The 20,058-nt window shown below is 49.1% G+C and overlaps 1 protein-coding gene across 22 annotated transcripts in view, besides 2 other annotated features; it reads left to right on the forward strand.

The window, feature by feature from the left end:
* The window catches only part of SLC28A1 (solute carrier family 28 member 1), a 90,988-nt gene that overhangs the window by 21,436 nt on the left and 49,494 nt on the right, over positions 1-20,058 (forward strand). For 21 of the 22 annotated variants that reach the window (XR_931945.3, NM_001321722.2, NM_001321721.2 and 18 more), the window contains 4 exons: positions 2,621-2,698; positions 12,427-12,507; positions 14,892-14,972; positions 17,888-18,013. Coding sequence is in view for 21 of the 22 variants with exons in the window: in NM_001321722.2 (NP_001308651.1) it covers positions 2,621-2,698; positions 12,427-12,507; positions 14,892-14,972; positions 17,888-18,013 (366 nt within the window). In the remaining variant the exon portion in view is untranslated. The remainder of the gene's footprint in view (positions 1-2,620; positions 2,699-12,426; positions 12,508-14,891; positions 14,973-17,887; positions 18,014-20,058) is intronic. The other variant, XM_011522209.3, reaches the window with a different exon arrangement.
* Positions 9,221-9,420: an enhancer, noted in NCBI's record as "active region_9994". NCBI's record gives its function as "activates an Ori minimal core promoter by ATAC-STARR-seq in GM12878 lymphoblastoid cells {active_cell/tissue: GM12878}" and the evidence as "EXISTENCE:reporter gene assay evidence [ECO:0000049][PMID:35858748]".
* Positions 18,057-18,557: an enhancer, noted in NCBI's record as "H3K4me1 hESC enhancer chr15:85467385-85467885 (GRCh37/hg19 assembly coordinates)". NCBI's record gives its function as "activates a minimal SCP1, AML or CMV promoter by ChIP-STARR-seq in naive H9 embryonic stem cells {active_cell/tissue: H9 hESC(naive)}" and the evidence as "EXISTENCE:reporter gene assay evidence [ECO:0000049][PMID:30033119]".

Below are 20,058 nucleotides of genomic sequence, written 5' to 3' on the forward strand. Positions count from 1 at the left end.
CAACCTCCACCTCCCTGGTTCAAGCAATTCTCCTGCCTCAGCCTGCCCAGTAGCTGGGATTACAGGCTCCCACCACCATGCCTGGCTAATGTTTATATTTTTAGTACAGACAGGGTTTCACCATGTTGGCCAGGCTGGTCTCGAACTCCTGACCTCAGACGATTCGCTTGCCTCGGCCTCCCAAAGTGCTGGGATTACAGGTGTAAGCCACCACACCTGGGCCCATTTTGTTTTGTTTTGAGACAGTCTTGCTTTGACATCCAGGCTGAGTGCAGTGGTGTGGATATGGCTCACTGCAGCGTTGACATCCTGGGCTCAAGTGATCCTCCCACCTCAGCCTCCCCAGTATTGAGTAGCTGGGACTACAGGTGTAAGCCACCATGCCAAGCTAATTAAAACATGGTTTGTTTGTTTGTTTGTTTGTTTGTTTGTTTCTTTCTTTCTTTCTTTCTTTCTTTCTTTCTTTCTCTTTCTTTCTTCCTTCCTTCCTTCCTTCCTTCCTTCCTTCCTTCCTTCCTTCCTTCCTTCCCTCCTTCCTTTCTTCCTTCCTTCCTTTCTTTTTTTTTTTTAGGTACAGGGTCTCCCTATGTTGCCCAGGCTGGTCTCAAACTCCTGGGCTCAAGTGATCTCACCTTGAGCCACGGTGCCCAGCCAATTCTGTTTTTTATTTTGGTAAAATATACATAACATAAAATCAACCATTTTAACCCCTTTAAGTATCATTAAATTCATGCACACTTGTTTTGCAACTATCATGATTTACTTTTGTCAAAAGAAAATTAGAACAAATTTAGTTTAAAGATCTTAATTGGCTTTTATTTGTGATTTTAGAATTAGGCAACACCTCATTCTATAAAAATAGAGTGGGTGTTCCGATGAGTTGAGTGGAGGAGGTTGGCTTTATAGACAGAGAAAGGCTGAAGAAAGCAGAAACAGAAAATAAATAGCAGATTGGTTGTTTCAAGGTCACTTTCCTTATAAAGGTCACAGCTGAGGGGACTGCCTGTCATGCTGCATTTGGGGATTTGGCTATCTGTCTCATTCTCCTGATTTTTTGGAAGGTCAGAAGACAGCTTAGTTTTGACTTGTGATGTGGAACTTTATAGCATGAGTGATTCCATTGTGGTTTGGTCTGTTGGGAGTAGTGCAGGAGCTCAGTCTAAACTAATGGTCTCCTTTATTTAACACTTAGAATTTTTTTTAAATCTATTTATTTGTTTATTTATTTTGAAACCAGGTTATGAGACTAGCTAATTTTTCTATTTTTGGTAGAGATGGGGTTTTACCATGTTGCCAAGGCTGGTCTTGAAGTCCTGGGCTCAAGTAATCTGCCCGCCTTGGCCTCCCAAAGTGCTGGGATTATAGGCATAAGCCACCATGCTGGCCTTTTTTTAATTTTAGTTTAGTTTAGTTTAGTTTAGTTTTGAGACAGGATTTCACTTCCATCACTCAGGCTGGAGTGCAGTGGCGTGATCTTAGCTCATTGCAGCCTCGACCTCCTGGAATCAAGGGAACTTCCCACCTCAGCCTCCCAAGTAGCTGGGACTCTAGGCATGAGCCACTACACCTGGCTAATTTTTGTATTTTTACCACTTTAAAAAATATAAATCATCAAGGACATAGGTTAAATATGTTAATCTACTCACCTCCCTCTCACCAGCTTGCAGTTCCCTGTGCTCTGTGCAGGGTGGAGCATGAGAACCCTGCCGGTCCAGGAATGTGCACACCTGCTGGCCTCACTGACAGTAACTGTACAGGGTGTGGAGGAAAAGACAGAGAGTTTCTTTTCTGGTCATGTCCCCATTTTATAGATGGGAACACTGAGGCCTGAACAAGAGAAATGACTTGCTGCCCCTGCAGTCACATTGCAAGTTCAGGATATAACACAGGTCTCCTGTAGAAGCATGGCTGGGCTCAGACTCCAAGGCCACAAGCCCGGGATGGGGACAAGATGAGGGGAGACTTTGCCGTTGGTTGTCAGGGGCCTGAGCGGCACAAGAGGCACTGCCTTCTTCACATGTCTCATGGTTACTTCTTCTGTTATCTCTTCTTTATTGTCCTAATAACTCCCAGAGCATTTCTTTTTTTTTTTTTTTTTTTTTTTGAGACAGAGTCTCGCTCTGTTGCCCAGGCTGCAGTGCAGTGGCGCAATCTTGGCTCACTGCAACCTCTGCCTCCCGGGTTCAAGCGATTCTCCTGCCTCAGCCTCCCAAGTAGCTGGGATTACAGGTGCCCACCACCATGCTCAGGTAATTTTTGTATTTTTAGCAGATATGGGGTTTCACCATGTTTGCCAAGCTGGTTTCGAACTCCTGACCTCAGGTGATCCGCCTGCCTCAGCCTCCCAAAGTGCTGAGATTACAGGTGTGAGCCACTGCACCCAGCCTGCAGAGCATATCTTTAAAATTGACCAAAAAGGTGTCTCTTTGGCAAATATGCTTAGGAGTGAGTGCCCGTGACAGCAGCTTTAACGCACCTTGCCAGGTGGTGCCCCCCCCCGGATAAGGGCCTGGGGGGACTACGTCCCTGGGCCAACCCGCCTGTCTCTGGCCGCTGCTTCCTCCCTCCTCCCTTCCCAGCCTCACTGCCTGTTTTTGTTTGTTTTGCTTTTTTCTTTCAGATCTTCCTGAGCTACACGAAGGCTGGCTCCAGCTTCGTGTTTGGGGAGGCGCTGGTCAAGGATGTCTTTGCCTTTCAGGTCAGCTTGACTCAGGGTCCCAGAGGCCTTTAGCAGCCACCGCCCAGCGACTCCAGCTAGAGGGGAGTCTGGGCATGGTGGGGGCCCAGGTGGAGGGGAGGAGTCCTGTGGGCAGAGGTCGCCGTACTGGGAAGTTAGTGAACCTTAAGCCTGGGGCCCGGGAGGAGCCCAGCAATGTTCACCTCATGAGATGTTTTTGCTATATTTTGTAAAATTTGCAAAAGTAAGATATTTCTGTATGTTTTTTTTTTTAGAGATGAACCTCCAAATTATAGAATTACTGAGTAGCTGAGGACAAGAAGTGGGGGTAGGGGTCATGGGGACAGCTCCTGCTGAGACCTTAGTCCCTGATGTGCTGCAGAGACTCTGGGCCCAGAAAGAGCAGTTTCCAGGAAGGCTTAGGCTCAAATGATCCTCTCAGGCGCTCCTCCTTCAGGGCCCCTCACAGGCCACCTCTGCCAGGAAGCCAGCCCTTACTAGTCCCGCTGCAATAGCTCCCTCCTTTGTGACCTCCTCAACCTACGATCCCACTTTCCCTCCCTCCCAGCCTCCATCCATCCTTCCTTTCTTTCTTCCAACAAAAATCTATTGTACATTTACTGCACTGCAAAATATTATAGGGGAAATGGAGATAAAGGCACTGTTCTGTTTCAAAGACCTTATTGTCTAATGGTGGAGCCCCAACCCTAATTTAAAAACAGGTCAGCCTGTGCGGAGGATGAGGATGCTACTGGTGGGACTGCTTCACTGTTCTGGGTGGAGCTGTGGTTGTATTCTTTTTTCCCTAGTTCATTGTTTAAGCACCGAAATGGCTTGTTTAGTAAGAACTCTAGTGTAGCCCTCCTCTGCCTGTCTTACACTCCAACTGTCTAAGACCAGCTTGCTCTAGGCTTAAGCTCCCTTGCCAGGCAGAAGAGAGAGACCTGGGCCCCACTCACCCAGTAGTTGGCCCCAGTTTTCTGCCACTGATGCGTGGCACTGAGAGGGAAATCAGGGCTGCCCACTCTGGTACATCCGGGACCGCCATCACCATGGAGCTGCTATGCAAGACCCCATGTGCAGGTTCCAGAGGTTTCTTCTGTTTTTCATTATGCTGGCCACTGTTCCCAGAGTCTCCCCACCCTGCTGGGGGTCTTGGACCCAGGAGACTTTTGGCCCAAGCCATGGACTTAGCTATGGACTTCTGGGCTGGCGTTGAGCCAGATCATGAGTTCAGACCCTCCTGCCTACCCCTGACCCTGACCCTGACCTCTGGTGAGCTCCCCTTGGAGCCTTAGCATCTCTTGTGCCAGCAGACTCCTAGGGAATGTCCAGTCTAACATCGTCAGCCCTAGGAGGAAAGGGAGGGGCCCAGGTTCCTATCTTCTCTGAAGTCTTCTTGCCCCCTGGGCAAATTTGCCCATCATGTTTTCTGAGACCAGTTCTGCATAGGGAGAATATTGGGAGGGGGAGCCTATGTCAGCCCCGCAAAGGCCCCTAATACCATATTCCTTTAGGGTAACGAGCAGCTGCTCCCTTACCTTTGCATAACCAATGCGGGGGTACCCGAAGTTTCAGAAAAGACAAGTAAGGTCTGCTTCAGGGTGACCTCTGGCGTCCACCCAGGCAGGGAGGCTCCCGCAGCTTCTTACACTTTAAAACACACACACTCAGCTGGGCGCGGTGGCTCATGCCTGTAATCCTAGCACTTTGGGAGGCTGAGGCAGGCGGATCACTTGAGGTTGGGAGTTTGAGACCAGCCTGACCAACATGGAGAAACCCCATCTCTACTAAAAATACAAAATTAGCCAAGTGTGGTGGTGCATGCCTGTAATCCCAGCTACTTGGGAGGCTGAGGCAGGAGAATCGCTTGAACCCAGGAGGCAGAGGTTGCAGTGAGCTGAGATCATGCCATTGCACTCCAGCCTGGGCAACAAGAGCGAAACTGCATCTCAACAAAACAAAACAAAACAAAACAAAAACACACACACCCGACACTCTGCAGTTCAACCTCCCCAGGCAGCTGCGTTCAAGTGCAGTAACGGAGGGGCCTGAGGAGTGCGTATAAGGAGAGATTCTTCTAATAAGAGACCGTGAGGGAGACTCCTTGAGGAGGCAGCATTTGACATGGAGTTTAGGACAGAAGAGATTTGGACAGACTGAGCTAGGCAGGAAGAGGAAATGGCATGGGCAAAGCATGGAGGTGAGAATGTGCTGGCGTGTCCACAGTGCAGGGCAGAGTTCAGTGGATAGGCAGGTAAGCTGTTTCCCAAAGGGAAATTAAAGCCTCGTTAGCCAAAAAGCAGGGGAAGAGGTGCCCGGCGGGCCACGCAGCTGCTGTCCGCCAGAGCGCCTTCCCCCGCCCACCACTGGCCCGCGTCTCTCCTGCGTCATTGCTGGGCTTGCCTCTGTGTCTGCCCCCTGGCCACATTAGCTATGTCTCCTCCCAGCCTGCCTCCCTCTCTGGAAGGATGTGTACACACCTGCTGCTTGCATCTCTCCCTGAATCACCCTTTAGAATCATGGATTCCTTGACCATTGGTACCAGGAGGGAGCTCAGTGGTGTTGCGGCCTCCCTTTTGTATTACTGATGGTCCAGCCAAGCTCCAGACAGGAGCAGTGTGTTGGCCGCAATGGCACAGTGAGTTGGCGCAGAGCCAGAGCTAGAACCCCTCCACTGGACTTCTGGTTAAGGGATGTATTCTTCCTCATACTATCAGCAGAAATCAACGGCCTCATGTCTCTCCTCCAAATACAAAAAGCACTCTGAATAACAAAAATGATCATTTAAAAATGTATCCATTAGGCTGGGCGTGGTGGCTCACGCCTGTAATCCCAGTACTTTGGGAGGCTGAAGTGGTTCGATCGCTTGAGTTCAGGAGTTCGAGACCAGCCTGGCCAATATGAAACCCCATCTCTACTAAAAATACAAAAATTAGCCAGGCATGGTGGCGGGCGCTTGTAATTCCAGCTACCCAGGAGGCTGAGGCAGGAGAATGACTTGAACCTGGGAGACGGAGGTTGCAGTGAGCGGAGACTGCACCACTGCACTCCAGGCCAGGCAACAGAGTGAGACTCCATCTCAAAAAAAAAAAAAAAAAAAGAAGAAGAAGAAGAAAATAAAAATGTATCAGTGGTGGCAAAAAACTTTGAAGTTGAATGTTCGGTTAAGACAAAAATGATAGTGAGGTGGGTTTATCATTAACCAGCCTCAGCATTTCCCAGCGAAACACCAGCAGTTTCCTGGCCCCTGGTAGGCCCTGTCCTCTGGACAAATTCCTGGACCGTGTATTGGCTGATGCACCATCCATAGCAATGCCAGGAAAGAGGAAGGAGGACTAGGATAAATGCTCTGTGGCCACAGAATTCTCTTTCTCACTAATCACAACATTTTATTCAGCCTCCCCCTCTCCCCTATATCACACACATATTATTGGGATTTGCCCTCAAGGTAGGGGTGGTTTTGTTGAATGCTGAGCTGAACAGAAGACTCAGGAAGTTCTCTCTATTCTTTCTATGAATCATACAGACCTAGTCCAAGGCCTTTGGCCAGTTTCAGTCTGGGGAAGTCTTCTCTGAGCTCACTCAGATTTTCAGAATCCAAGCTGCTTCCTGCTGGGCCATGGTCCAGCTGCTCTCTTCTGGGGGGAAGTAAAGTCTCTCCCTAGGGCTTCTTCAGCCCTCAGCTTGCCCTGGACCTGGAGTCCAGCACAGTGGACGTGGCAGTCACCCCTTGGCTGTATCAGCTGGATTAGTCATTCCACCTTGGCTCTGTCTCCCTTCTAGTAACTTTCCACCCGCATGATCATACTCCCCTGGGTCTGGCTGACCCGGGAGCAGACTCTCATTCTTTCACTATTGTTCTAGCCTCTGGAACAAGCACCCACTGCTAAGCTTAGCAGTGCTGCTCAGATTTTCTCTGGAGGAACCCCTAGGGTCAAGGAAAATGTCTTCATCTCCTGAGAGTTTCGGGATGTCTGATATAGACTCTGCAGTCCCCAGTGGTCAACAGTGCCAAATTTTGCGCGCGCGCACACACACACACACACACACACACACACACACACACACACAGATCAAATAAGGACCAAAAGGTATCATTGGATTTGGTAGTTAAGGGGTAACTGGTAACCTTAGTGAGCATGGTTTTCGGTGAAGGGAATGGGAAGTAAATGAAGCCTGGGGTGGGATGGCTGAAAGAAGGGAGATGGGACAGCCGAGGCAGGAGGCATCTTGTTGAAAACCCAGGATCCAGGCAGAAATGGGAATGAGGGGCAAAATGCTGAGGCCATTCTGGGCAAAGGGATGGCACAAACAGGAAATCAGGAGGCGTAGCTAGGTTACAGCCAGAAATGCAGCTACTCTGGACTTGGAGATGAGTCCCTTCCACTTTCTGGCGGTGGTACTGGTACAGTGTGCACCACAGCTGCTGCCCCGAGCATCTTCCAGCTTTGGGTTTTAGTGGCTCACTGTGGCCTGGGGCTGGTGACAGGGCACTGTCGACAGTGCTCAAGCCTTGGGGTCTGGAGACATGAGGGTTTGCCCAGACAGCCTTAGAAAGTCAGCAGGAGCCCTGGCTCAGCTTCCTCCAGGGAGAGGAGGGGGCAGGCCATGTCCTTAGTGGGGTTTATCTGGCCTTCAAAGCCTGTTTCTTGGCCCAGGTGATGAAGTTTGCTCAGAGCGTCTAATCTAGTCTCCAGGGCTGTGGTTGTCAGAGTGTGGTGTCCAGGTCAGCTGCACCAGCAGCATCTGGAAAGGCCAAACATCAGGCCCCACTGTAGACCTATTAAATCCAAAATATTTTTAGCAAATTCTCAAAGGATGCTGCTGGTCCACGTGCTGAGAACCACTGGCCTAGAAGAGCTAGAATTTCCTTCTTCCTTGAGTTATGGTACTAGCAGGACCAGCCTCCAAAGCCATTTCTACAAGGCAGTGGTCAGGACTTACTTGGCTCTTCCTTGAAGGGGACTGCCTTAGTCCATCCAGGAGGCCATAAACTGGGTGGTTACAAGCAACAGAAATTTATTTCTCACACTTCTAGAGGCTGGAAGTCTGAGATCAGTGTCCCTGCAAGGTTGAATTCTGTTGAGGCCCACTTTGCTCTCTGCCTACTTGGTCGTCTGTGTCCTCACATGGTAAAAGAGGTGAGGGAGCTCTCTGGAGCCTCTTTTATTTTTTATTTTTATTTTTTTGAGACAGGATCTCACTCTGTTGCCCAGGCTGGAGTGCAGTAGTGTGATCACTGCTCACTGCAGCCTCCATCTCCTTGGCTCAAGTGATCCTCCTGCCTCAGCCTCCAGAATAGCTGGGACTGCAGGCACATGCCACCATGCCCAGCTAATTTTTTTGAATTTTGGTAGATACAGGGTCTCACTATATTGCCGAGGCTGGTCTTGAACTCCTGAACTCAAGGGATCCTCTGGCCTCAGCCTCCCAAAATGCTGGGATTACAGGCGTGAGCCACTGTGCCTCTTTTACAACGGCACTAATCCCATTCATGAGGGCTCCACCCTCATAACCTAATCACCCCCAAAGGCTCCACCTCCTAATACCATCACCTAGGGAATTTGGTTTCAATATATGAATTTAGGGGGACACAGACATTCAGTTTCCAGCAGGGATGCATGCTGCCCCTGAAGGCAGAGAAACAAGCCTCCAGGACTGTTCCCAGGGCAAACCTCCCAAGGGGCATGGCAGGACCTTGGCAATCTGCATGGTGGCTGGGAAATGCATCTGCCTCTTTGCAGGTGTGTGACCTCGGGTGGGTAGCCAAGATCTCACAGCCTCCGTGTGCCCATTTGTGAAGTGGCGACAGTTACATCCACCACAGATGCTATGAGGATTCATGAGTCCCCACATATTAGGGACCTGGCCCAGGACAAGCCCTCGTGGTTGGCACACAGTGGAATTTAATGGCACTTGCCTCCCCTTTCCACAGCAGCACTGCCTCGAGCTGCTGCCCTGTTCTGCCACCTCACATCCTGCAGGCCCCAGAGGTGTTTCCTGGGCTGTAAGATGATATTGGCCACAGGGACCTTATTTAATATTCTATCCTACCTTAGAAAATTGGGGCCACCTCTTTTCTCTTTCATTCCCCTCCCCTCCCTAGACAGGCCCCACTTAATCCAAAACATAGCTTCTCTTCTACCATTCTCCGTCTCACAGATAGAAAATCTTTTGATTGCTGGCAGGAGAAAGTCCCAATGCTGCAGTGGGGTCCTGATGCCCCGGGCACTCTCCTTCCTGGCGTGGGCCCATCCCTGCAGGCCTGCTAGCTGCCCTGCAGTCCCTCTCAGGATCCACTGGACAAGCAGTCTAGACAGTACGTGACTCTCTCTGCATCTCAGTCCCAGGAGTGTGGGATGATGTCATCCTACCCGTGCTGGAGGTGTTTCTAGCCCCAGGCGGGAGGAGGAGTCACGGGGCACAGTTCTGGTGTTCTCTGTCGGGTGACTTCCCCACCACAGGGAAGTTGGTGACAGATGACAGCAGAGCAAGTCCAGATACAACCTGCAGCATTGGTCTGGGAAGGGACAGGAGAAAGAAAAGGCCTCAGCAGGGCTTGCCTCCCAGCTGCCCGGGCAGAATCTCCATTCTCTTCAGGGTCCATTCTGTAATCCCAGTTCACTTTGAACTAGAGCCTAAATTTGGTTGCTCAAGACTCTCCCTCCTTAAAAAATAAAAGCAGCCCTTGCCGGGCCCTCACCAGTCTCCGGCAGTGAGCACAGTGCTGCTTCTTGCAAGGGCTGTCCATTCTTGTGGTCTCCCCTTCTTCATGTCTCACTTCCACCTTGGCTCACTGACATCAGCCTCAGTCCCCACGCTTCCTCTGACACTGCTCTCACCTAGATCATGGGTGCCTCCAAGTTGCTAAGTCCCAGGGGTCTGGCTCAGTCCTTACCGTTCCAGAGTTCTCTGATGCCCCTGACACAGTGCTAGTGACTATCCCTTCTTGAAAAGCTGCCCCTCGGTTTCCATCCTGCCTCTCTTCTGGCCGTCCTCCAGCCCTTGGCTATTTCTTTGTCTCCTTCACAGGCTCCTCCTTCCCCTCTCACCCTTTAATGACACACTGACCACAGGGCCCTGTCCTTAGCTCCTGTTCTTCTCACTCAGGGCTATTTCTGCAGTGAATTGCATCCACCAGCCACCTCAACCTGTTGTTGTTGTTGTTGTTGTTGTTCTTCTTCTTATTATTATTATTATTTTAGACAGGGTCTCACTCTGTCACCCCAGGCTGGAGTGCAGTCGGATGATCTCGGCTCACTGCAACCTCTGCCTCCCGGGTTCAAGCGATTCTCATGCCTCAGCCTTCCGAGTAGCTGGGATTACAGGCACCCGCCACTACCCCTGGCTTATTTTTTTCTATTTTTAGTAGAGATGGGGTTTCACCATGTTGGCCAGGCTGGTCTCGAACTCCTGACCTCAAATGATCCACCTGCCTCGGCCTCCCAAAGTGCTGGGATTACTTTTTTTTTTTTTTTTTCAAACATGGGGTCTTACTCTGTTGTCTGGGCTGTAGTGCAGTGGCATGATCATGACTTACTGCAGCCTCGAACTCCTGGAATCCAGTAATCCTCCCACTTCAGCCTCCAGAGCAGTTGGAACCACATGTGTGTGCCACCATACATAGCTGTTAAAAAAAAATTTGTTTATGTAGAGATGGGGGCCTTGCTTTGTTTCCTAGGCTGGTCTCAAACTCCTGAGCTCAAGCAATCCTCCTGCCTCGGCCTCCCAAAGTGCTGGGATTACAGGCATGAACCACCATGCTGGGCCAACCTGTACTTCTTATGAAAGAGCCCCAAGCCAAAGCCTGGCCCAGATGTCCCTAACCCTTTTATCCAGCTGCCCACTTGGTATTCCACAGGCATCTCAAATTCAAAGTTCAAAGCCAAACTGATCTTCCCACAAACCTCTCCTGCCTATGCTCCTTCCCTTGAGAAATGTCCACCTATTATTGAAAATTCTAGGAACAACTGGGCACAGTGGCTCACGCCTGTAATCTCAGCACTTTGGGAGAATGGGGTGGGCAGATCACTTGAGGTCAGGAGCTCGAGACCAGCCTGGCCAACATGGTGAAACCTTGTCTCTACTAAAAATACAAAAATTAGCTGGGTGTGGCAGCAAGCGCCTGTAATCCCAGCTACTTGGGAGGCTGAGGCAGGAGAATCACTTGAACCCAGGAGGCGGAGGCTGTAGTGAGCCGAGATCGTACCACTGTACTCCAGCCTGGGCAACAGAGTGAGATTCTGTCTCAAAAAAAAAAAAATAAATAAAAAAGGTAGGAACAGATGAGAAATTCAGAAATAAAGAAAAAAGAAAACAACATTTCCATAGCCCCAGCACATAGAAACAAATCCTTTGGCTATTTGGGAGTGCTTCTTTCTATAATTTTAATATTCCAATTTTCCCATTTAACATTGTAGCATAAGACTGCTCCCATGCTATTACCAGTTCTACATGACTATTTTAAACTGTTGGGAACACAGGACACAGAATAGAGCAAACATTCCAACACAAAAGGGTATAAGGTAAAAAAGAAAACTTCCTTTCATCCCTGGCCCCCAAGGCACTCAGTTCCCTCCCCAAGGCACCTGCTGTTGCTGGCCTCTTGCACATCCTTCTAATGATTCCTGTGCCTATACAAGATCACACACAACGCCCCTCACACACATGCTTTTGGAGAGGTAGGGGACCTTACGATGTTGCCCAGCCTGGCCTTGAACTCCTGGGCTCAAGCAATCCTCTTGCCTCAGCCTCCTGAGTAGCTGGGACTATAGACATGTGCCATCATGCATGGCTACCCCCCACCCCCTTCTTAAACCCACATAACAGCATAGCATACACTCTTGTGGTACACCTTCTCTTTTTTCATTTAACAACATATCTTGGAAATCAGTCCACAGCTGCCCATAGAGAGCTTCTGCATTCTTGTTTCCTGACCTTTAGTGCACTAGGGTATGTCTGTATCCTAGGTGATGAAACTAGTCTTCCACTAAAAGACCTCTCCATTTTTTGCCAGTTTGTTACTAAACATCAGACTACAGTAAAGAAAGACTAGGGTGCAGAAAAGCAACCTCCTTTTCCATGGGCCTGGAAAAGAGGGAATGGGTGTGAGAGAAATTCTAAAGGGAGAATGGGTGAGCTTGGAGTGAAGGAAGAGGAGTGTTAAGCCTGGTACTAATAATAGGAAATGGGGTGATGGGAGGAGATGCTGGCTCAGGTCCGGGATAAGCCTAATTCTGAGCATGTTGGTGCTGAGCAGAAGTGGAGCACCAAAATGATGAGGGTCCCCTCATTCAGGCCCAAAGCATGAGAGGGAGGTTAAGGCCAGAGTCTGAGGCCAAGGATTGAGCTCATGGAGAAGGGTGCACACTGCCACCTTCACAACGACCCTCAGATGTGGGCATTTTACTCCCCTTTTAGAGACAAAGAAGCAGGAGATAAAAGTGGTACACTCAGGCCCCACCCTACCACAGCACAGGCCTACCTGTGCTGAGGAGAGGGGGTGGTCTGGCGGCTGGTCACTATTTAGAGGGGAGCCGAGAGGACAAGGCTGCCTCCAAAGAGGCCCTGCATGTGGAACCCTGGGACTTCATGCACTGATCTCAGAGCATCTTCCCGGATCCTGTCAGGCATCTGAGTGGCAAGGCCTGGGATGGAGTGGGCTGTCTGGGGTCTCCTGGGCCCCGCCTGGCACCCTGCATCCTGCCTGCCTCTAACCTGCGGTCCTATGATCTCCTTCCCGGCAGGTTCTGCCCATCATTGTCTTTTTCAGCTGTGTCATATCCGTTCTCTACCACGTGGGCCTCATGCAGTGGGTGATCCTGAAGGTAAGTTCCCAGTGCCCATGGCCAGGGCTCTCCCAGAGTCACCAGCTCACAGGGTTCACACTGTCCCAGAATGCCTTGCTCCCAGAGCCCAAACCTCCCCAGACACACTGCTCCCCAAGCCCACACCCTTCCAGAGTCCCCTGTTCCCAGTGCCTCCACCTTCCCAGAATCCCCAGCTGCCAAGTTCCACACCTTTCTGGAATCCTTTGCTCCTGAGGCCCATACCTTCCCAGAATCCCCAACTCTTAGAGTTCACACCTTCCTAGAATCCCTTGCTTCTGAAGTCCATATCTTCCCTGAACCCCTGGCTCTTAGAGTTCACACCTTCCTAGAATCCTTTGCTCCTGAGGCCCATACCTTCCCTGAATCCCCTGCTTCCAGGATCTTCACCCTCACAGAATCTAGTGCTGACCAAATGTCCTTTCCCAGGGTCTCCTGTCATGATACTAAAGAGAAATAGCACCAAAGTCTAATGTGGTCCTTGCTAGAGGAAAGGTTGCAGTTTTGAGGCGGCACTGAAAAGGTGTAGAGGGAAGAAAATAATTTATACCGAAAAGATATTGAGAGACTGTAGCAGTGGACCATGTTGGCCAGACTTAGCTGGTATAAATGTCAGATCCTGTGCTTATGTTCATAAAATATGCTGCACAAAACTAGGATGTAGGAGATAGCATTGGACAGCAACAGATAGCATTGGACTTGGCAAAAGATTCCAAGGTTTTAGCTGATTGAGCTCAGAATAAATCAGCAACATCAGATGGCTTCCAGAAATGCAAAAACAACCTGTGGTTATTATCTTTGTTCATTTTCTGTTGCTATAACAGAATATCACAGACTGGGTAATTTATAAAGAAAAGAGATTTATTTGGCTCATGGCCAAATAGAGGGTATGGTTTCAAGATTGAAACCTTGGCTGGGAAGGCCAAGAGCATGGCACTGACATCTGGTAAGGGCCTTCTTGCTGTGTCATAACATGGTGGAAGGGCAGAAGGCAGAAGTGAGCACACAAGACACAGAGAGATCAGGGCCAAACTTATCCTTTTTATCAGGAGTTCACTCCCATGATAACCAAACTACTCCTGCAATAACAGCATTAATCCATTCATGAGGGCAGAGCCTTCATGCCCTAATCACCTCCTCAAGGTCATGCCTCTCAACATCGTTACAATGGCAATCAAATATATATATATTTTTATTTGGCAATCAAATTTCAACATGAGTTTAGGTGGGGATATTCAAACCATAGCAGTTATGTTAAGAGCACACACAGCATAGCATAAAGGAGGTGATTCTCCCCAGACCTGGAGACTGTGTTCAACCAAGAGGCTATGACAAACTGAACTATAAGCAGGATAGTGAAAGGGATTGAAACCATGCCCTCCACAAAATGGTTGAAGGAATAGGGAATGAGGAGCTTGGAGAAGAGGAAGTTAGGGGAGGATAGCTGTCTCCAAATACTTACAGAAGAGAGATTAGGCAAAGGGCAACCTGAGAGGCACCAGCAGTGGAGAGAATTCCAGGGAAGCAGATTTCATCTTGATTAAAAAGAAGAGCTTTCTAGTTGGGCGTGGTGGCTCATGCCTGTAATCCCAGCACTTTGGGAGGCCAAGGCAGACGGATCACCTGAGGTCAGGAGTTCGAGACCAGTCTGGCCAACATAGTGAAACCTCATCTCTACTAAAAATACAAAAATTAGCCGGGCATGGTGGCGAGTGCCTGTAGTCCCAACTACTCAGGAGGCTGAGGCAGGAGAGTTGCTTGAACCTGGGAGGCAGAGGTTGCAGTGAGCCAAGATTGTGCCACCGCACTCCAGCCTGGGTGACAGAACGAGGCTCTGTCTTGGAAAGGAAAGGAAAGGAAAGGGGAAGGGGAAGGGGAAGGGGAAGGGCTTTCTAATAGAATGTTTCCCAAAACCTTTTCCACAAAACTCTAGTTCCACAGCATGTTAGTAAATGTTACCAGGTAAAGGTAGCCTAATCCCATGGTCAAATAATTTAGGGAAACTAGGCTAGACATTATGCTATGAAAATTTAAATAGGCTTAATGCAGGACTTCTCAGAGGCTTTACTAAGCTAATGTGTATTGGTAATCTCCAAGGGGTGTGTGTGTGTGTGTGTGTGCATTTCACAATTCTCAAATATATTGGGCCAGGAAATCCTTTCTGCATTCCTACGGTGAAATGAATGGCCTTGGGAAGGGGTAAGCCCCCATCAATGAAGGTGTGGAAGAAGAAGATGAATGGACCTTTTGGGAAAATGTAGATGAAGGGGTCCTACACTGGGCTGGGAGTTGGGAGGAAACTGTGTAAGGTCTTCCACTCCAGCCCCCTCTGACTCTGGGGTTTGCTGATGTCAGCCCACAAAGAACATTCTGCTTCCTTCTAGATTGCCTGGCTGATGCAAGTCACCATGGGCACCACAGCCACTGAGACCCTGAGTGTGGCTGGAAACATCTTTGTGAGCCAGGTGGGTATGGAAGCCTCCTACCCTCATGCTCATCAGCAGCTTCCCCAAAGAGGGCAGTTTCCCTGGATCCCCAGAGCTCTGATTCAGTCCAAGGAAGAGCCATTTGAACCTTCTCCCAGGGTCATCAAATTCTGCTGCTCCAGGGATACTCTGTTTGGGGGATGCCTGGGTCATGCCAGGGAGGATGTCATCTGTCTGGCTTCTCTTACCACTCTAGCCCTAGGCGGTCTTCATCAGCCCAAAGACTCACAAATCCTCCAGATGGATCCAGTTTCTCATTTTACACATGAGGAAACAGGCTCAGGGGATGGGAATCCCTTGACCAAGATTCCACACATATAAGCCACGGCTTCAAATCCAGGTTTTCTTCTTTCTGGTCAGAGTTTTTTCCACTGCATCATTTTGTCTTTTCTTTTCTCCCTCTTTCTTAAAATGTGTTTTCCAAAGTAAATGTGACTCTGAAAGTACCCTTGGTGCCGAGTCCCTTTCAGAAAGCCTGATCCCCCTGAGGATGGCCCTCTGGAGACTCTGCCAAGGCCTGTCCTGGCCCATCTGCCTAATGTTTGAGTCACCAAGAGACACACTGGTTAGAAGATGCCATATTTCACTGGACAGTTTAGGAAACTTTGGAGAATATTTTTATCTTTTTTGCTACGGTGCATGTGTGTTGATTTGAAAGTTTTTGTTCTGGTTATTTTTTGTTTAGTTTTGTCTTGTTTTTAGCCGATGAAGATAGACGTGCTCTCAGATAAACTGTCAAAAAAATCCCTTAAGGTGTTCAAAATGAGGCAAAAGAGGAAAACACTATTAAAATGCAAAGCAGTTATTCTATATGAAAGGCTGCAAATGTGTTCCATGTGTTTTGCTGGGAAAATATGTAGGTGAAAGTGACATTGGGCGATGTGAAGCGCTGCCAAGGTGAATTCACTTTGGACAAGCTGTTGATTAAGCTGACCTAGATGCCGGGGTCTACGCCTCATTTCCCCCAAGAGGGAGGGATGGGGAGCCTTCAGGGATCAGTGGCATCATTTGAACCTCTCTACTTGTGGCAGGCCTGGGCCCTCTGCTCTTGTCCATCCACACTCCCTCCCTGCAGGATCACATTAGCCCCATGGCTTTAAACACTTTAAATGTCTCTCAGGTCCTGCTCTGCAGTCCTGATCTCCCATGAACTCAGGACTGACAGGTCAACTGGCCCCTTGACCGTCCACTTGGAGATCTAAGGGGTGTCGCACATTAAGACGCTAAGTCCAAACAACCTGAACTGTTGCTCCCCTCCCTCATCACCCCTGCCCCTCTCAAGCCCTTCCCCTCTTGGCAAGTGGGAACATCTTCCACAGGATGGTTCAGGCGGAGCTGGAAGAGCTGCCCTGCCTTCCTCCGCTTCCCCCACTGCGGCATCCAATCTATCAGCATTCCCACAGCGCTGCCTCTGTGGCCCATCTACAACCCCCCGCTGCCCGGGCCACCTGCCTCTCACCTGGACACTGCCGTCTCCTCCTACCTCTTCTTCCTTCCCGTACTATCCGTCCTTCACTCATACACCCGAGTGACCCTTCAAACACACAAAGCGGATCATTCCACTCCTGCCTAAGCAAGCGTGCCCCTCACCGTGGCTTCCTAGCCCCTCTGTGGCCCACCTGCCCCCTCTGCCTCTGTCTCAGGCGGCTCCCCCGCGCCCATCTGCAGCAGACATGCTGACTGCTATGGCTTTTGGACCTTGCAGAGCTTCTTGCTGCCTTAGGGCCTCTGCTATTCGCTTGCCTGGAATGCTATGCTATCAAACCATGTCACTGGCTCCTTCAGGTCTCAGCCAACCCTAACCTAATGTCACCTCCTCAGAGAGGGCTTTGCCGATTTCTCAGTTTCTTTGTTTTTGTTTTCTGAGATGGAGTCTCGCTCTGTCACCTAGGCTGGAGCGCAGTGGCACAATCTTGGGCTCACTGCAACCTCCGCCTCCCGGGTTCAAGCGATTCTCGTGCCTAAGCCTCCCTAGTAGCTGGGATTACTGACATGTGTCAGCATGCCCGGCTAATTTTTGTATTTTTAGTTGAGACAGGGTTTCACCATGTTGGCCAGGCTGGTCTGGAACTCCTGACCTCAGCCAATCCTACCACCTCAGCCTCCCAAAGTGCTGGGATTGCAGGCGTGAGCCACTGTGCCTGGCCTACTCAGTTTTAAACACCCCTAACCAGTAGGCATTATCACACATATCTTCATAGCTTTCATCACCATCTAAAATGACATTGCTTACCTGCTTGGTTGCTTGTTGATTATCTATATCCTCCCACCCTCCACGGCTCCCAGGATATAAGCCCTATGAAGGCAGGGACTTTATCCTGTCGACGCCATGTTCCTATTCTATATAACAGTGCCTGGAACACAGTAGGCGCTCAACAACTAGATACTGAATGAGTAATGAAGGGCTTCGGGCTGCCCAGATGCCCAGAAATGCACCCCTCATCCAATGCCCAAGCTCCTTTCTTTTTGGCCACCGCTGTGGCTGCAGGAGAGCTTGGGCCTGCAGCAGGACCTGCTTCACATCCTTTTACATGAGCAGGGGTCATTCCTGGAACCCCACCGAACCTCTGTTGCTCTCCTGGAAAACGGAGATACCCAATTCTATCTCAGAAGGTTGTGAGTAACAAAGGTGACGTGCTTAGCGGGGTGCCTGGCACGTGGCAGGACATCAACACAGGGGAGCATTGTCAGGCCGGGAGGGAGGGATGGGGGTCCTTCTGTAGAGGTAGGCAATGCTGAGGTTCAGAGAAGCTCAGCCAAGTACAGACCCTGGTCCTTACCCCATCCTGCTGCCTCTTACCGTGGGACTCCCAGCTGCTCACTGTGACCTGTGAAGGGAGAGGATGTGCCCAATCACCCCCACCCTGCTTGTCTGACATCTTTCCTGTTTGCAGACCGAGGCTCCATTACTGATCCGGCCCTACTTGGCAGACATGACACTCTCTGAAGTCCACGTTGTCATGACCGGAGGTTACGCCACCATTGCTGGCAGCCTGCTGGGTGCCTACATCTCCTTTGGGGTAGGTAGAGCCCTCCTTCTGCTTGGCTATGTTGAGGACCTGAAGCCCATCTTTGTGGGAGCCCCACACAGCTCCTGGCCAGAGCAGCCCTCAGATCTTCTCTCTTGGGCCTGCTGTGCTGGCAAGAGGAGTGGCTTCCCCTGAGCCCAGTGGGCTGGACCATTTGCTCGGGCTTTGCGCATGGCCACCTGGGGCAAAGCTTCCTGGTGTTCCATTTACTGAGTGCATGCTAGGTACCAGGCAGTATGCTAGGTGTTTTAATATCCCCATTTTCCAGATGAGAAAATTGAGGCTCCAGAGTAAGTGAGATGCCCAAACCCAGATCTGTCTGACTCCAAAATTTGTGCTCATTTCTCCAGTCTCACACCTGGGCTGTCCCTAGAGATCCGTCCTACTCCTTCCCTCCTCCCTTTCCCCACACTCTCTCTGGGCTCAAGTCCTGCCTCTGCTCCTAAATTATTGCCTGTGCAGTTTACACAGCACAAAGAATTTGTAGGTCAAATTCCAGTGGTGTGAATTAGGCCCTAAAAGCAATCACAATGCTACTGCATGGTGGGCAGAGGGAAATTCTCAAATGCATCCCTCACATAATGCCCGGTAATAATGCTTTACATTCATAAAACACCTTATGCTTTCACATTTGTGCTTTCACAGGCAAATCTTCAAAGGTCTCAATTTTATTTCCTTAATGATCAAAGAAATTCTTGCTTATTGCAGAAACAAATAAGTTTTTAAATCTCTTTCTTAACCCCACTTCCCATGGGTAACTGATTTTATTTTTTATTAATTTTTTTTGTTTGTTTGTTTTTGAGACGGAGTCTTGCTCTGTTGCCAGGCTGGAGTGCAGTGGCGCAATCTTGGCTGACTGCAACCTCTAGCTCCCTGGTTCAAGCGTTTCTCCTGCCTCAGCGTCCTGAGTAGCTAGGATTACAGGCACGCCCCACCGCGCCCAGCTAGTTTTTTTTTTTTTTTTTTTTTTTTTGTATTTTTAGTAGAGACAGGGTTTCACCATGTTGGCCAGGATGGTCTCGATCTCCTGACCTTGTGATCTGCCCACCTCAGCCTCCCAAAGTGCTGGTATTACAGGCATGAGCCACGGTGCCTGGCCTGGTAATTGCTTTTAATAGCGTAGAACAGCTATTCTGAAAGTGGGGTCCATGGACCAGCATTGTCAGCATCACCTGCGAACTTGTTAGAAATGCAAATTCTTGGGCCCACCCTAGACCTGCTGAATCAGAAACGATGGGGGATGCCAAGGCGGGTGGATCATCTGAGGTCAGGAATTTGAGAGCAGCCCGGCCAACATGGTGAAATCTCATCTCTACTAAAAATACAAAAAAATAGCTGGCCGTGGTGGTGGGTGCTTGTAATCCTAGCTATTTGGGAGGCTGAAGCAGGAGAATCACTTGAAACTGGGAGGCGGAGGTTGCAGTGAACTGAGATCGCACCACTGCACAGTAGCCTGGGCAACAGAGTGAGACTGTGTTTCAAAAAAAGAAAAGAAATGATGGGGGTGGAACCAGCATACTGCGTTGCAACAGGCCTCACAGGTGATTCTGATGCCCGCCCAATTTGAGACCACTGACCTAAAATGTCATTCCAAATCTTTCTGTGTAAGTAGGCTTTTAGGTATATACACCTGAGTACTCACATACTTTCTCTCTCTTTTTTTTTTAATAAAAGTTGAGAATCATTGATCAGGAGAAAATAGTTCACAAATTATAAAAAGATATTCAAGCTCACTGATGTTCAAAGGAATTAAGACGATAATAACTTATCTTTCTTCTAAGTGATATGAAACCCTTTACGTGCCCCCAAATGGCAAGTGTGTGGTACTCACCCACTCATGGTAACAGTTTAATTTACTGTAACCTTTTTTGGTGAAGGCCTATCAGTCTATTTATTTTTTATTTATTTTATTCTATATATAATATTTTGTTTTTTTATTTTATTCTATATATAATATTTTATTATTTTATCATATATCACTTTTAATTTTTTTATTTATATAATAAAATATTGTATTTTATTATATAGAGCAATTA

This window comes from Homo sapiens, chromosome 15 (genome assembly GCF_000001405.40).
Source record: "Homo sapiens chromosome 15, GRCh38.p14 Primary Assembly".
Classification (NCBI taxonomy): Eukaryota; Metazoa; Chordata; class Mammalia; order Primates; family Hominidae; genus Homo; species Homo sapiens.